Raw genomic sequence first — 18,383 nt, forward strand, 5'->3', positions numbered from 1 at the left:
CAACAGGGTCGTCATCTCAACACATGTCACTTGGCTATACGCTTCACTGGAACATTGTGTTGTGCTGGGGCTGAATTAAATGTGCAATTACTGCACATTTTCTCGAAAGGAGTTTTGACAATGATAAATGCATAGACATTTTTCCACACTCAGACAACGTGACTCCTTGCTCATCAAGTGGCTCAGGATTCACTTTGAAGAACTGGTCTCTTGTTAACAGGAGAACGTGGGTGCTGCCCGAGAAGCGCATGGGCCTGAGTTCAAGTGCCACTTCTACCTGTCATGTACCATCTGAGCGTGGGCAGCTTTCTTACTCCTGCTAGCCCGAGTTTTCAATGAGCAATCATTGCACCTCTGATAAACCTCATTGGCTATGGTATTTCTATATGCAAAGCTGAGACAACACTTGGAAAGTAATTACCATAGTCCCTGGTTAATAGTAAGCTTTCAATGAGTGTTGGCTAGCATTCATGCCCGTAAGTTATCCTCTTGCCTAGAGCAGTGATGGCTCTAATGTGAGTTCAGATCCCTACAATAGGAGAAACAGTGCTTGTTGCTTTTCAAAAAGCAGAGAATAACCATAACTTTTCTACAGATCCTTGAATATAATAACAGTAGCTAATATCTGTTTACTTATTACCTGCTAGGCAATGTGATCAATTTTCTGTGGATCAGATGATTCAATTCTCATACAAACCCTGTGAACTTTTTGGTATTTATTTTACATATTAGGAATCCTGGTGGGCCAACTGCAGCCCACTGGCCCCTCCAGGTCCACTGTCCACCATTCTCTACTCTCTGGTGCCACAAGATGCTTATCTGTATGAAGCCTTAGGAAGGAAACCAGAAGAACTGACACCCTGTCTTGTTCTCCCTCCACCTCTGATTCCTCACTAGTGCTTCTAATTTACTGAAGCCAGCTGGAAACCAGAAGACAAGGCTGCCAGGTGCTCTGACAAAGGACGGAGCAGGGTATAGAAGGGAGAGTAAATTCAGAGGACTAAGCAAATGTACTCAGCACATCTGCTTGTGAACATACTGCCAGCAAGTGCCATTTGTTTTAAGCGATAGAGAATTAGATATCCTCTTTGCTGTACTGTTCCAAACTGCTTATTTCTTTCTCCTTCTTTTTCCTCATAGACTATGATCTTTTGATATTATAGCAGGAAACTTGGCGTGGGCTAGCATCTTGGTGTAATCCAACCTCTCTTAGATTTGTGGATATTTCATTGTGAAAAGGTCAAGATAAAAAATACATTACTAAATATCCATTTATCCTTTATTTTCTCATCATATACAGAAAGGTTATTGCCAAATATGGCCATAAAGGTTTTATTGCTCCAATTTTTATAGCAAAAACAGATACACTTCTTAATGAATTTTGGTTTATTAGATCACCAGTGACCAACATGGGGTTTCTAGCTCTTAGGAGACCCTGATGGTGGCAATGAAGGTCTGCAAGCTATTTTAAATATTTCAGAAAATCTAATATAATCTTACTTTTACAAATGATAAAGCTTCACAAACAAAAACATCAAGATGTTTTGCTTTTGACTGAAATGATATTAGCTCTGCATGGTGAACTTAGTAATTTAATTCTGATCAGCAGCTCTGGTTGGCAGTTATATGTGCCTTTGATTAATAAAACATGGGTGAGAAAATAAATTATTACTTAATCTGTGCAGTTTGCTAGATAAAGTCTTTGAAAACCTGGAGTCAATTGGATGGAAAATAATGAACTGGGTGCTCAGTGGTGAAATAATAAGCACAATACCAGCTTGGCATGTCTCACATATGTAGGAAAGCCAAGACAGGCTTCCAGATGGGCCGAGATCTGATAAACAATTCCAGTCAATTATTTGTTTTTAGTAATAACAACGACAATAATAATGATGATAGTAGGTAACAATTATTAAGTGGCCAGACATAGTGCTGAAATGCTCTGCATGTAATATTTTATTTCTTCCTTCCAATAGACCTAGGAGGAATGCACTCTGATTATCCCTTATTTCAGGTTGGTCTCCTTCAGAAGCAGACTCAGACATTTATGGGCTCAGATAGTTTATTTGGGAGGTAATGCCAAGAAGCACTGTAGGGAATGAAGAAAGTCAGCTGGGGAAGGCAAGGAAGGCAACACCAGGATGCACTGAATGGTAGATTGTCTCTGTGGGCACCTGGGATGCCACCCCCCTTGGCACGTCTGGGGACAGTGTAGAACACACCTTTGAGTTGTACCACACAATCAGTGAGGAAGCTGGGTATTGCTCTTCCGACTCCTGTTTGTAATTAGTTCAGAGCTGCTTTCAGGGAAGTCGACTTCCCGGAACTTCCAGTTCACCCTGTGGAAGGGAAGGGGCTGAGCATGTTCTGGTGGCTAGAGAAAGCCCTCAGGTACAGAGATACAGGGGTTTCCAGAAAGCCTCTGGTGACGCACAAGGATGTGAGCACACAAGAACAGTACCTGCTGCACTTCCGTCCTACAAGAGAGGAAGTCAAGAATTCATGAGTTGAAATAACTTATCCAGAGTCACAAAGCGCTTGTGATGGTGTGCTCTTCCAAAGAATTTTTTTGCTCCCTGTGTCTGAAGGCTACCAATGTCCAATAATGTACCAAATGAGCCCTTGTTCTTAGAGTTTTTTTAAACAACAGCTTTATTGAGATATAATTCACATACCATACTATTCACTCTTTTAAAGTGTAGCACTCCATGGTTTTCAGTCTATTCACAGAATTGTGCAACCGTCGCCACAATGAACTTTAGAATATTTTTTAAATCTCCTGGAAAAAAAAAAAAACACTATCCTGAGTCATACCTCATTTTCCACCATTATATCCTCAGCTCCTGGCAGCCACAAAATCTCATTCTGTCTCTGTTTCATTCCCTTTTATGGACATTTTATAGAAACTGAATATAATATCTGATCTTTTGTGCCTGCCTTCTTTCACTTAGGATAGTGTTTTAAATGTTCATCCCTGTTGTAGCGTGTATCAATACTTCAGTCTTTGCATTGCCAAATAATATTCCATTGCCTGGATATATCACATTTGTTTATCCACTTATTGCTCAATGAACATTTTAGTTGTTTCCACTTTGGGGCGATTTTGAATAACGTTGCTGTGAAAATATGCCTATAATCTTTGGTGTGGATATGCACCTACCTAGGATTAGAATTGCTAGGTTATCGGCAACTCTATTTTTAACCTTTTGAGGAACTGCCAGATTCTTTTTCCAAGCAGTCTTAGAGTTTATTGATGATTTTAATTTGCTGTTTAATTAAGCAAGATGCCTGCCTTACACTGTTTGGCAAAGGAGAAAAATCAGCATCAGGCACTTGCAGACATAGATTTCCAGAATTCCTAAAACATTCAAGAAGGATGTTATCGGTACATGATCAGAGTTGAGTAGGTTCTGGATTTTAATGCCTGTACTTGCTTTTTACTTATAAATGATTAATACTTTAGCTTCATAATTATCCATTTAGTTTATGATTATGGGTTGCCTGGTTAACCCTACTGGGTGTAGTGATGCATGCTTTCATCAGAAACATTTTTGGCCTGCAGTTTCTAAGTAGCCAGATTTTAAAGCATATACAGGTGGCAGTTCATTAAACATGCATTCGTTTTTGTTTTTATTTGGCACCTACTGTGAATCAGTCACTGTGTTAGGTGCTGTGAATACAGTGGGGGGACAAAAACAGATACAATTGTGTTAGAGAAAAATAAACTTTGAAGGAAACTGCACTAGAAGATACAGCATTTAGTCATTGCTGGGATTCTCTTCATTGCAAGCAGCTACTGCATTCCGATTATTCACCCTGAATCTAAGGCAAGCTCTGCTCTAAAATGTCACACAAGAAAGAAGTGGAAAACCTCTTCTCCAGGAGGGGTTTGCAATGTAAATAAAGAGACAAAGAATGCCTTAGGTGTTTCCTCTACCTAGCATAATCAAATACTACTATGAAATATGCAAGAGTCTGTGTCATCACTGACATTCAGTCTTGGATTTATTTTTTTTAACTCTGTGTACTAGACACTGCCTCTTGGATGTCCCATAGTTCATTGAACTCTCCAAGTGCAAAGTTAAACTCAATCTCCCCACCAACCTCTAACCTCAACCCAGCCCCAGACTTTTTTTTCCAGTGTATGCTTTCTATTTTAGCAAATCAAGGGTGCTACTCACCGTGCTGTTGCCAAAACCACAAACATGGGCATGATTCTCGGTGTTTCTGTAGGCTTCTCTCACCTACCCTCTAGTCAGGCAGGTCTTCATCATTTAACCTTCTACTTCTCTCTGACAGATTTGCTTCTGTCTATCCTCATCTTCATCCTAGATCTAAACCACCATTATCTCTTGCCTGCAACCTTTTATTCCTAATTCTAGTCTTTAATATCTAATTTCTGCTCCAAATGGCAGCTGAAGGATTATTTTCAAGCTCAGATGTATCCTGCCACACCCTTTGGAACTCCTCATGGATCGTTATTACCCCCAGGTTTAAGTCCATTTTCTTTAACATATCAGAGCCTTGCTCCAAATGGCAGCTGAAGGATTATTTTCAAGCTCAGGTATATCCTGCCACACCCTTTGGAACTCCTCTTGGATCATCATTACCCCCGAGTTTAAGTCCATTTTCTTTAATACAGCAGCGCCTGTCCTTCATGACCCAGCCCCTGATGCCATCTCTGGTTTTATCTTTACCCACTCCCTTAGCAGATGCTTGTGTTGAGCAGAGCCAAACCAAATCTCTTACTATCCCTAGAATGTGCCAGGTTCTTTCACATTGGAAAGTTTGCATAAGATGAGCTTTGAAAAGTACTTTTTCAATAACTTGTGTCTCAGTGGATTTCTATTAATTAGGATATGGGTTTGGATGCCATAGCAAAGATTCAAATGTCAGTGGCTTCAATAAGATAGATGCATATTACTCTCTCAAGTGATGGTTCAGGCAGGAGCAGTTCTAGATTGACATGGTGGCCCCACTGTGTCACTTAGAGACAAAGTGGAGACAGGGGTGGAGAGACATAAATCTATCTGAGAGATGTGTAGGAAGCTGAATCTTTAAAACCTGGCTTCCCTCTTATTTTATGGCATTTGTGGAATGTATCCTGTGTCCTCATGGCCCCAGACAACTCACCACCACATCCACATTCTATCCCAGTCAGTGGGAAAGGGGAAAGGGGAGCCATATCCCTTCTCTTGAAATACACAAGTGGAAAGTTGCATCTACCACCTCTCCTCATATCTTCTTGGCGAGCTGTTGACCATATGACTAAATCTAGCTGCAAGGAAAATCAAGAGCTATTGGTCTTTCTTTGGGGGACAAATAGAAGTTTCTGGTAATTATTTTATGTAAAACTAATCCGAAGAAATAAGTACATTTTCCTTCCAAACATGGCAATCCTGGCAGGGTTGTGGGCACTGGAATCACACCATTTTTTGCTAACTAAACAAATTTCCAAGTCAACAATGTCAGATATTGGAAGTTCAAGATAGATAAAGGCCACTAGTATGTTGGCAATAGCATGCCCTCTTTACAAATGATAAAATTTAGAGAAGTCAGGTGCCTCCCAAGTACCCATAACATGTACACGCCCCCCTGCTATCTTCTGAATCCACCCTCTGTGCTGAACAAACATGCAGGGCAGTATACTTTAGTGATTAAGAACACCAGCTTTGGACTCAGAAAGGTCTGGATGCATAATCACTTATTATTGTGATATTTACAAATTCCCTAAGTTTTCTGAGCTTTATTTTCCCACAAGGATGTTATATGCATTAAATGGGATAATATCTAGAAATTACCTAGGAAATATCTGGCCAATGATTAGCACTTAAGAAATGATCTCTAGTATAACTATAATGAATATCTCTTAAACTTTTTCTGCTATGACCAGTTATTGCTTCTTTTGGAGACATGATAGCTGGAAAATGTGCACTCATAATTTTGCCAGTGTTTATTTCTTCATAAGGCAAGACAAAAGGAGTCCTGTGGAAGACGCCTCTTCACTTTCTTCTTAATGTACTTGGTCTAAGGTATCCACACTTGTCTGAGAGATGGCAGAGGTGGGTGAGGCACCACAGCTCTGTCTTTCTCTTAGTAAACTCACAGATTCCTAACTAAGTACTCAGAGTCTGCTGTGTGCCATACCTAACCTAAAATCCCAATTCTACCCATTCCTGGCTGTCAGATCTTGGAAAAGATTCTTGACCTCTCTTAGCACCAACCTCTGCTTCTAAAAATGAGAATAACTTGAATACCTACTTAACAATTGTCCTCGGAGGAATAGCTGAGACGCTTCACCTAGAAGTGCTTAAAACTGTGTCTGATATATCGTTCATGCTTGATAAATATGAGCTGACTTAAATTCCCCCATTTAAGCATGAATTTCAGCAGAGGCAGTAGGGGTAAAAAGGAGAGGATGCGGTGAAGAAAAATTTAGAAGGCATAATGGAAAGGACCCAGTGATGGTCCAGTGTCAGGGAGATGGCCCAGATAGAAATGTAGCAAAATTATCCTGAAAAATTTGATTATTTGATAGAATGGTTCACCAAGATGGAAAACACAGTCGGGGAGGAGAGGGCTTGAGAGGAAGACAATGAGTAAAACGTTAGGCATGGTCAATTTGAGTGGTCAAGGGATTCACCATGGAGATATTAAACAGGCATTAGATAGCCAGGTCTGAAGCTCTGTAGAGAAGTGTAAGTTCAAAACATTCATTTAGGAGTCACTTGACCCAGGAGGCACCAGCCGCAGGTCACAGGCTCCATTGTCTTCAGGGACCAGTAGCAGTCATGTGAAAAGCAGGAAAGAGAGACGGTTAACTTGGGGTCAACAATGCGATGCACGCCCTGCCCAAAGGCCTTCAAGTGCATTCACCTGGGTGAGTACTCAGCCTGAGGTCTGAATGGAACCTTCCACCTGGGAAGATGTTAAAGTGGTTATGAACGAATGAAATCTACCCCCAAGGTTTTCCTGGTGCAGAAAGAGAAGACTGAAGATCAAATTTACAACGTGCTTAGACTTCTACAGTGTTGCTGAAATCTACATCAGACAGTATTTTGGCGAGGAGCAAGGCTTCCCCAGCAGTGTTCATGATCTGACAGCTGTAACCAATACCTGACATTTCCCTTTTGGATATAAATAATTATCTTTCACAGTTATGGCACATACACAACAAGTAAATTTCCCCTTTTATTTGGAAAGCCTCTACTTTACAATTCATGTTTACCTTCCTGAATCTTTTCTACATTTCAAATTCATGTTTTGTTTAAAAAGATGACAGACACAGGAAAGCGTTGGTTATGGCAATATAATTAAAGGACATTCATTTCACTCAAACCTGCATGGTGATTTTTGGCAGGGGAGGGGGCTGGCAAATGATGTTTTGCCTCCTGTATTAGTTTTCTATTTCTTCTGTAAAAATTTATGACAAAATTTGTGGCTTAAAGCAACCCATGGATGTCTGAATGGCTTTGGTTCCTTTCTGGAGGCCCAAGGGCAGAATCCACTTTCTTCCCTCTCCCAGTTTCTAGAGGCTCACAGCCCCTTCCTTCATTTTCAAAGCCACAAAAGTTGGATCTCTCCAGCCATTTTCTGAGTAGTTACATCTCCTTTGCACTCTTTTCGACCTCCATCTCTAATTTTCAGGACCCTTGTGATTGCATTGGGTTCACCTGGGTAAGTGAGAAGACTCTTTTTAAGGTCAGCTGATTAACAACCCAAATTCCACCTGCATAGGTTCTGTTTGCCATATAAGTTTATAAGTTCCTTTATATCTCCGAGTAGTACTGCGTGGCATGGATGTACCACACGGTTGTTGTTGTTTTTAACCCTCTACCTGCTGAAAGACATCTGGTTTGCTTCCAGTTTTAGCATTTATGAGTACGGCAGCTATGCACAATTGTGTACAGATTTTTCTTTTAATGGAGGTTTTCATTCTCTGAGATGAATTCGCCCAAAAGTGCAATGTCTGGGTTATATAATTGCATGTGTTGTTTTATTTTTTAAAAAAACATTGCTAAACTGTTTTCCAGAGCGGCTATACCATTTTACATTCTATTGAAGAGTTTTGAGCAGTAAGGTGATGCAATCCTATTCATGTTTTAAAAACATTCTCTGGATGATGGATCAAGAATGCCAGTAGGGAGGGCAAATGCAGAAGCAGGGAGATCAGAAGGGAGCCTCTGCAGTGGTTCAGGTGAGAGGTGAGAGAGAGAGTCAAAGCATGGGTGGGTGTGGCTGAGATGATGAGAAGCAGTAGGATAAGGGACATATATTGATGATATAATTGACAGTTGCTGCAGAATTGTTTGTGGAAATTGGGAGAAAAGATTCAAGGAGGATTTCTGTGCTTTGGGCTTGAGGATGGTGGTTCATGATGGACCTATTTGTCTTGATAATGGGAGGACAGGGGTGGGAGCTGACATGGGAAAGAGATGAGTGCCTGTTAAATTCTACAGTGGAAATCTTGAGTGGGTGGTTAGAAATAAGAGTCTGGAGCCAAGGGGAGATGTGGGAAGCTGGAGAGAAAGTGGAAAAGGACTATGTCTATAAATATGCCCGATGCAAAGCGTGGCATAGTCACAGGCAAAAGCTATCCACTTGATCTCAAGAACAATCTTTTTTCACCTTCTGGGCTTCACAAACAAAATAGCACCTTCAGTTTCCATTTCGGTATAGCAGGTACGGTAACCACAAGAACGTGCAAAGCAGAAACAAAGAGCACTTGGCACCCAAGTCTTATAGAGGCTCATTTCTGATATCTTCTAGGGAACTTCTTTGTATAAGGACGTCATAGAGAAGGTTTGTCTTTCATTTGTCTGTAGCAAGGTCGTAATTTTTTTTAATCTTTAAAAAAAATTATTGTTAATACAAATAAGTCTATTGTGATTTTTAATTCTAGGAAGAATGCCATACAAATCTTTTTTAGTACACGTTTCTGTTTTATACTGTGATTTGGAGGGGTAAAAAGGGTAATACAAAATATGGATAGTTTTTTCATTGCTGGAATGTTCCACATTGGGTTCTGCCTTGGCAACGTCTCCTGTGAGCTACAGTTGAGGGCCAAAGCAGATGCTCCGTTTTTATGCATCTGTCGATAGCCACATGACTCTGCAACTGCCACTGCCTCCCCACACCCCCTGAGCTGGCGCCAGCACGGAGCAGCTGAATCCGACTCAGGCTTCATCCCAGCTCACATTCCACCTTCCCGACAAGGACACTGAGGCCCAGAGATGAAGTGGGACTTCCCACCACAAGTCAATGAGGAGATGGGGTAGCCAGGCCTAAAACCCCGGCCTTTGGCTTACAGCCGCCCGTCATTTTCCCAGGTGCCCACCTCAGAGGCCATCCTTGGAAAAGGAAACGTCACTAACCTATGGTTCTGGGGAAATGGAGACGAGAGAGGAAGTAATATGTTGTTCTTCTTTTCTTTAGGCTTCTTTCCACTGGGTAAATCTTCTCCATACATAATAAAATGAAGGCCCCAGATGATTTGTGAAAGAGTTGAAATGAACTTCCTGCAATTGAACAAACTATTATGAAGCCCCTACTGTCTTTATCAGCAATTCACAGTCTTTTGTCCATAAGAATAAGCAGGGGACTTAAAAAAAAAAAAAAAAAAAAAAAACTACTGGTACTTGGGCCTTACCCCAGACTAACTAAATTAGACCCTCTAGGGTGGACTTTGCTCTCAGTATTTTTCAAAGTTACCCATGCTATTCCAACGTACAGCCAGGAATGAGAACAAACTGGTCTATGGTACTGTGCTAATTGATCCTGTCTTTGGTTCTCAAGTTGGGGTGATTTGGCCTCTGCAGAGGATAAAAGGAAATGTCTGGAGACTTTTGGTTGTCACCGTTGGGATGGGGGCTGCCGTTGGCTTCTAGTGGGTAGAGGTCAGTGATGCTTTTTAACCTCCTACAATGCACTAGACAACCTCCACCACAAAGAATTATCTGGCCCCAAACATCGATAGTGCCAAGGTGGAGAAACCCTAGGCTTATGGATGCCATGGGAAACACCAGTTACCTGGATGTAAATCCATGGTAAAATAACATAGATGCTATGACATGTGGCCCACTGGAAGACACCCATGTCAAATCCCAGGAGCCAGTGAATGTGAGCTTATTTGGCAAAAGAGTCTTTGCAGAGGTAATTAAGTTGGGGGTCTTGAGATCAAATAATCCTGAATTATCTGAGCGTATCCTAAATTGAATTTCAAGTGGCCTTGTAAGAGTCATAGAGGAAAACAGATACACAGGGGAGAGGGTGATATAACCATAGAGGCAGAAATTACAGCAATATGGCCCCAAGCCAAGGATTCCCAGAGCCACCAGGAGGTGGATGAAGCAAGGAAGGATCCTTTTTTAGAGACTTCCAAAAAAGCGTGGCCCTGCTGACACCTTGATTTAGGTCTTCTGGCCTCCAGAGGTATGAGAGAATAAATCCCTATTGTTTTTTTGCCACAAGGTTTGTAGTAATTTGGTATGGCAGCAATAGGAAACCGATCAGATGCCTGTGCCTTTGTTTGCAAAATTCAACAAAGCACATTAGGAGAGATGGGGTCCATGAGAAGGGATAGGATGCATGCAACTCATAAGGCTGAAGACAGACGGGAGTGGGAGTAGGAAGGTCTAGAAGAGAATCTGACAAAGATGCGGGTGAAACTCTGAACCCCTGGCCAGGGCAGGGAAGTCATGAAGGCCAAGCAACACATCCAGTGATGATTCTTCTGTCGACATTTCATTTCTGAAAACTGGTTGTTTCATTAAATTTTTTGGTTTTTCAGATCTCAAGGTGTCAGTATCTTGTAACAGTAATGAGCTTGATTCGCTGTGAAAAGCAAGACGTGTGAAATAGAAACAAACTTAAACTTTTAATAATTTCATTTACTAATGGTCACTAATGACCTAGAACCCAAGACACATATCTTTAAAAAAATTAGATTAGGGAAATGATATATAAGCAAAATAATAATTTAGTAAAAGGTGTAATTATTTTTCTTCCTTTTGTAAAAGTTATTTGTAATTAACAAATGATCATTTGTATATTTTTCTAGTAACACCTAAAACTTCCTGATCTTTATCCGTTTAACCAACATGTATGGTGTTAAAGAAACAGGCCAGGTGTGGTGGCTCACACCTGTAATCCCAGCAGTTTGGGAGGCTGAGGCGGGCAGATCACCTGAGGTCAGGAGTTGAAGACCAGCCTGGCCAACATGGTGAAACCCCATCTCTACTAAAAATACAAAAAAAAAAAAAATTGCCAGGTGTGGTGGTGGGCACCTGTAATCCCAGCTACTAGGGAGGCTGAGGCAGAAGAATCGCTTGAACCTGAGAGGCAGAAGTTGTGGTGGACCAAGAATGCACCATTGCACTCCAGCCTGGGCAACAAGAGTGAAACTCTGTCTCAAAGAAAAGAAAAGAAATAACTGGAAAGAAAGTACCAGCAAGGAACGTCCTTTCTCAATACCTCTTACATGATCCCTGTCCCCTACGTCCTATGGTTTCACCGTATCACATCCTCACACACTCCCCTCTAACTCCACTTTTTAAGTGACTCTGTTTCCTCTTACATTTTCCCATAGTCTGTCTTCCCCTTATATAACTGTCATTATATAACTCATTCTGTAATGATTTACTTAAACCTGACTTCCCCATTAGGAAGTATGCTCCATGGGGAGAGAGCGCATATCTGCTTCGTATTTCCCCCCTAAATCCTCAACACCTGTTACAATTCCCAGTGTACAGTAAGCAGTCCATAAAGCTGGATGATTACTCTGCATGTGTTAGTGACATGCATGAAGTACCCATTTCCCCTTGGCACGGGAAGCCCAGGGGAACAGCATTTTCCTGCCTGACTTCTGAAGCCCTCATACTCATGATCCTACGGGAGCAATGGCAAGGGCACCGGAAAGCCAGGTCGGAGAATAGAGACCCCCAGCCTGCTCTCACAGTTGGACTCAGCAGTGCAACATCAGTGACTCCTTTGTGGGAGTCCCACACACCGCTGTTCACACAGGGAACACCAGTGCCCGGTGGAGCTGCGGGCTTTTGAGACCTCCCGAGTCGCTTTGTGTGCACAATGCCGTGACTCTGGATTTGTACAGTATGACCCTCAGACGCTGGAACAGGAGCACACGCCAAAGAGAAAAAGGAGTGGAGATCACTGAGATCTCATAAATCCATAATGGGCCTGCTCTGTATTAATAAAACAATCTCAATGGTGGAGCTCCATAAAAGAGAGGCATAGGCTGATGTAATTTCCTTGAAGTCCCCTGTAAAGCATTTTACTCTGTAATACAGCTACATTTATGAAGTGGTTTTATCTTGAAAGATCCCAAAGGGCTTACTAGACTGAAAAGGAAAATATCAAGTACACGACATCTCAAAACACCACCAATGTACTTCGGTGATAACAGTTGGGGATTCTGTGACAGCAGGTAGCCCTCTTAAAAAGCAGACAGCGGCTTAGCCCATTAAACCTCCAGGGAGAAGTAAAGAGAAAGAGGAGATAATTGTCCACATTGGATAAGGGCCACACAGGTTTTCTTTATTAATAAAGGCCATGGCTTGTTTCCATCCGCCACGTGGATTTAAGTGGGTGAGCTTTATCAACATCATTCTCCTTATTTGAAATAAAAGAAAGAAACCAACTTATAACACTTCTTCATAAAGGGACTGAGAAAATATATGTAAAGCTTCCAGTGGTTAATAGAGGTCAGGTGTAGCCAGTGTAATTTAGAAGCTGTGCATTTTAAAAAGTAAAATATAACCTACAGTTATAAAATATATCCGACAGGAAAAATATCTTTTCCCAGCCAAATTTTACTGAATCCAGTCCTGTCGAAATGACTGATCCTGGGTTTTTTTCTTCCTTGTTGCTGTCCTGGTTAGGACATGGTGGCACTAACTTTTAGTGAATTAGCCGAGGATATAGGGGAATGGTTGGCAGGGGCCAGAAGTCCTTCTTGATTATCCTCCAAGAATATCACCCCACTGGGAGCTAAGAAGGAAGGTGGAAGCACCAGGTGATGTAAGTTTAGCAATCGCTGAGTACTGTCAAAGAAAGCAGTCTGAGACTTCAAAGTAAATAAAAAGTAGCTCCCCTTTCTTCAAAAATGTTAAAACTGATCCACTCTCTAACCAGGAATACTGTTGTCTCACATTCCCTCTGCAGTTTCTCTCATCCCACTTCTGCTTCCAGCCCAAACCCCTCACCCGTCTCGTTTTCCCACCAGAAAGTACTCCTTGTCTTTTTACTAATACTTTGCTTCTTCCCTCCCCACACGATCTCTCCAAAGCCTGGGAACTGAGCTAGCAAAGAGAATGCTCTTCTGAGCTTGGAGCTGAACAAGGAGCCCCTATGGAGGAGACAAAGATGCAAAATTTTTAGTTTGGTTTTATTCTCATTTAAGTTTTCTATGGAGTATTTTTCTTGTGATTTAATCTTTGGATGAGACTATCAATGTACGTTTCTTCTAATTTTATTTTTCAAATATTCCATTGCAAACTTATTTAGCATTTATAATTGAATACTGATAAGTGAATTTATTTATTCATTTATTTATTCATTTATTTTGAGATGCAGTCTCACTCTGCCACCCAAGCTGGAGTACAGTGGTGTGATCTTGGCTCACTGCAACCTCTACTTCCAGGTTCAAGGGATTCTCCTGCCATGGCCAGTATTATTTTTTAAATTTTTAGTAGTGACGGGGTTTCACCGTGTTGGCCAGGCTGGTCTCAAACTACTGACCTCAAGTGATCTGCCAGCCTCAGTCTCCCAAAGTGCTGGGATTACAGGCATGAGCCACTGCTCCCGGCCAGTAAACTTTATTTTATTTTAAAAACCTGTTTTGGAGTATTAGCCCACTGGTTTACATTGTCTTCCTTACATACATCACACCCATATGGAGGAGTACTTTAAAGACAAAGTTGCAATCTGGTAGCATAGCTGCCCAGTGGAGAAAAAGTGCACATGTAAAGCCTGAGTAATTCAGGGCATGAAAATATCCCTGTCAGCCAATCAGTCAACGAGTTGACCAAGCGTCTTGGCTAGCCTCAGAGGTACCTTGGCAGGCAGGCTCAGGCATTGTGCAGCCCTGTGTAAAATTTTCCTCATAGTAACTACGTTGTCTTTACATCAACCTGAGAAGTAGATACTATTTTTCCTATTTTTGTTTGTTTGTTTGTTTGTTTGAGACAAAGACTCGGTCTGTCGCCCAGGCTGGAGTGCAGTGGTGCGATCTCGGCCCATGGCAACCTCCGCCTCCCGGGTTGACGCCATTCTCCTGCCTCAGCCTCCCGAGTAGCTGGGACTACAGGCGCCCGCCACCACGCCCAGCTAATTTTTTTGTATTTTTAGTAGAGATGGGGTTTCACTGTTGGCTAGGATGGTCTCGATTTCCTGACCTCGTGATCCGCCCACCTCCGCCTCCCAAAGTGTTGGGATTACAGGCGTGAGCCAGCGCGCCTGGCCTATTTTTCCTATTTTATTAATGAGAAAACTGAGGCTCAGAGATGCTAAATAACATATCTGAGTTCATCACTGCCAGTCAATCTGGGCTCAAACATTCCGATCCAGATTGCTCTGATTCTAGAGCCTTTGTTCTGGAAATCTGTCTTTTATAATACACAGGGATTTTATTTTTAACCTTTTATTTTGAAATGAATTCAGACTTACAGGAAAGTTGCAAAAAGAATGTAGGTAATTCCTTTATATTTTTAGTTCAAATTTTTCAAATGTTAACATATTATCACATTTACTTAATGATTCCTCCCTCCCCCAACTATTGAAGAGAAAATTGCAGACTCGATGCCCCTTTTCCCCTCATCTTCAGTGTGATATTTCCCAAAAACAAGGATGTTTTTTCTCTCTCATAGAATCACAGAACAATGATCAAATCAGCAAATTAACGCTATTAAAAATTATCTAATCAACACACTTAATTTGGATTTATCCAATTACCGCACTAATGTTTTTTTATTGCAAAAGAAAATATTTTGGCCCAGGATCTAATCCAGGATTTAATATTGCCTCAGATCTCATGTCTCTTTAGGTTCCTTTAATCTGGAAAAGTTCTTCATCTTTGTTCTGTCTTTCGTGACCATGACATAGTTGAAGATTATAGGTTGGTTAGTTTGTTCGGTGTCTCCCATGATTAGATCCAGGTTAAAGAAACAGCTGGAAAGAAAGTACAAGCAAGGAACTTCCTATGTCAACACCTAAATAATCTCTGCCACCCCCACCCCCATGGCTTTACCCCATCACATCCTCACAAACTCCCCTCTACCTCCACATTTTAGGTGATTCTCTTTCCTCTTACATTTTCTCATAGTCTGCCCTCCCTTTATAGCTCTAATCACAACTTGAATTGTATAACAAATTCTATAATGATTTTTTTAAAACTGACTTCCCCATTAGGGTGTATGCTCCCTGGGGACTGAGCTCATACCTGGTTCGTATTTGCGCCCGCTGAATCCTCAACACCTAGTACAATTCTCAGTAAGCAGTCCCTAAAGCTAAGTGATTACTCTGTATGTGTTAGTGAAATGCATTAAGTGCCCATTTCCCCTTGGCGTGGGAAGCCCACAGGAACAGCATTTTCCTGCCTTACTTCTGAAGTCCTTGAACTCACGCTCCTACTGGAGTGATGGCAAGGCCACTGGAAAGCCAGGTCGGAGAACAGAGACCCCCCCAGCCTGCTTTCACAGTTGGTTCCGGCAGTTGTTGCATTTGTGGCAAGAACCTCATGGCAGTATTGTGTCCTTCACAGTGCTTTGTATCAGGCAGCATGTAGCAGGCTTTTGTGTCCTTACTGGTGACATTAACTTGGACCACTTACAGAGGGTGGTGTCTGCCAGGTTTCTCCTATATAAACTTAATTTTTCCTCCTTTGTAACTAACAAGGGTCTTGGAAGGAGATATTTCCAGACTACACAAATACCTTGTTTCTTTTCATATTTTCACCCACTGATTCTAGGCTTCTTTGATAATTTTTGCCCTCCTGCCCCACCAAAAAATATTTTACCATTATGGTTACCAAATGGCGATTCTCTAATGGCATGAGTCCTTCTACATTTATTTGTTGGCATTCTATTTTAAGGAAAAGCTCCCCCCAACTTAAGAATTTATTTCCAATTTTAAAAGTTTCATTACTATGGTTTTATGGGTTCTTTTTTTATTCTGTAGGGTAACAATCTGTTGCTACCCTTATTTATTCTTGTGCGCCAATTGTCCACCGTTTGTCCAGTGGGAAGCCTAACATGCAGTTTTTATATTCAAGTATCCTAGCACGTCAACTTTTATTGCTTCACTTAAAATCTGCCACCTTCCACCTTCATGTCCTGAATCCTTTATCTAGAAAATGTGTAATTTTCCAAGAAGGCCTCAGACCTAGTGGTCCAGTTACTGTCTGTTTTTGCTGACTAACTCTTGAAATAAGAATTTTTTTAAAAGCTGGTAGTAGGGATGAAGGGGGTTAAGTGACAGTTCTCCTAAGAAGCATACTCATGGCCCTGCCAGCGGCTTGGAGACATAAGGGAGGTAAACTGAAATCTTTCCTGAACACTTCATGCTTTTTGGTTTCTCTCCACTTTTTAACACACTGCAGTGTAATTCCCTCCACTATCCTGAAAACATGGATTTAGATTCCAAGACCCATCTCTCCTTCTGTGAAGCCATCCTCCCTGCCCCACCCAGGCAGGATGAATTATTCTCTTCTTGGCAGCTCTAGAAGCCCTGGTATAGGCTTTTGTTCTAGCATCAGTCATATGGTGTTATAACTATTTTTGACACTCCGTTCCCCTCAATAGGCTGTGAGCCTTTCACAAATGGGTTTTTACATATATCTGTGTTAAGTAATAATAAGGCTGGGTGTAGTGGCTCACGCCTGTAATCCCAGCAGTTTGGGAGGCTGAGTGGGGATGATTGCTTGAGCTCAAGAGTTCAAGACAAGCCTGGACAACATGGAAAAACCCCATCTCTACAAAATATACAAAAATTAGTTGGGCATGGTAATCCCAGCTGCTCAGGAGGCTGAGGCAGGAGAATCGCTTGAACCCTGGAGGCAGAAGTTGCAGTAAGCCAAGATCGCATCACTGCACTCCAGCCTGGGCAACAGAATGAGACTCTCTCTCAAACGAAAAAGAAATAATAAACATTTTTAATTATTTAAAAATGTGTTAGAATCGATATCTAGGTCATTGTGTAAACCAAAGGCCAGCAAACTTTCCTGCAAAGGGCCAGGTAGGCTTTGTAGGTGATATAGTTTCTCTTATAACTAGTAAACTCTGCTACTGTATATCTAATGGCCCTATACACGATACATAAAAGAATGAATGTGGCTGTGTTTCAATAGAACTTTATTCATATAAATAGACGTGGGGCTGAATTTTACCCTAGGGCTATAATTTCCTGACCCCTGATCTCTCCCACCTCAAGGTCTTCCTATTAGCTGAATACCTGCCTTAGGAAATCCCTCATTTTCTCTGGCTATTTTCTGCATATTCTTTTTTTTTTTTTTTTTTTAAGCAGCTTTCTAGCTTCTCTCTGGAAGAGTGGAAAGATGATGGGGCTAGCCCATAGTTTCTCAACCTGGGCAATATTGACAATTTGAACTAGGTAATCTTTTGTTGTGAGGGAGTACATTATAGAATGTTAGCAGCATGCCTGGCCTCTACACACTGGATACCACTAGCAGCACTGCAGTCATGACAATCAAAATGTCTCCGGACATCGTAAAATTACCCCTGGTTGAGGAGAATCAGGCTAGTCCGTGCACAATATATTTTTAAATTTTTCTTTAGTTCTTCAAGAGCCTTCCAGGTGAAGGAATGGACTGCCACAGCCAAAAACAAGATGGCTAGCAAACTCTTCTCTCCAGGAAACGTCTTCCTAATAAGGCATATTTTATTATTTTGTCAGAAAGTCCATTTCTACACCTTTCTTAATCCTCCATTTAGTATTTCTCTTTTTTTTTTTATTATACTTTAAGTTCTGGGGTACGTGTGCAGAACTTGTAGGTTTCTTACGTAGGTATACACGTGCTATGGTGGTTTGCTGCATCTGTCAATCCGTCATCTACATTAGGTATTTCTCCTAATGCTATCCCTCCCCTAGACCCCTACCCATCGACAGTGTGGTGTTTCCCTCCCTGTTTCCTTGTGTTCTTATCGTTCACCTCCCACTCAGGAATGAGAACATGTGGTATTTGGTTTTCTGTTCTTGTGTTAGTTTGCTGAGAATGTTGGTTTCCAGCTACATCCGTGATCCTGCAAAAGACAGGAACTCATCCTTTTTTATGGCTGCATAGTATTCCCTGGTATATATGTGCCACATTTTCTTTATCCAGTCTATCATTGATGGGCATTTGGGTTGGTTTC

General features: G+C 41.4%; 1 protein-coding gene and 1 long non-coding RNA gene across 9 annotated transcripts in view; one reads left to right on the plus strand and one right to left on the minus strand.

Annotated features, from left to right (window-relative positions):
• The window catches only part of CDH13 (cadherin 13), a 1,173,672-nt gene that overhangs the window by 325,000 nt on the left and 830,289 nt on the right, over window positions 1-18,383 (plus strand). The gene's annotated exons all lie outside the window — the stretch shown is intronic.
• Window positions 1,262-18,383, minus strand: part of LOC101928417 (uncharacterized) — a 37,069-nt gene continuing 19,947 nt past the window's right edge. Inside the window, exons 2-3 of the long non-coding RNA NR_110937.1 lie at window positions 2,676-2,779; window positions 1,262-2,477 (exon numbers count right to left, since the gene is read on the minus strand). This is a non-coding gene — a long non-coding RNA (uncharacterized LOC101928417). The remainder of the gene's footprint in view (window positions 2,478-2,675; window positions 2,780-18,383) is intronic.

The sequence above is a fragment of the Homo sapiens genome, chromosome 16 (assembly GCF_000001405.40).
Source record: "Homo sapiens chromosome 16, GRCh38.p14 Primary Assembly".
In the NCBI taxonomy this organism is placed as follows: domain Eukaryota; kingdom Metazoa; phylum Chordata; class Mammalia; order Primates; family Hominidae; genus Homo; species Homo sapiens.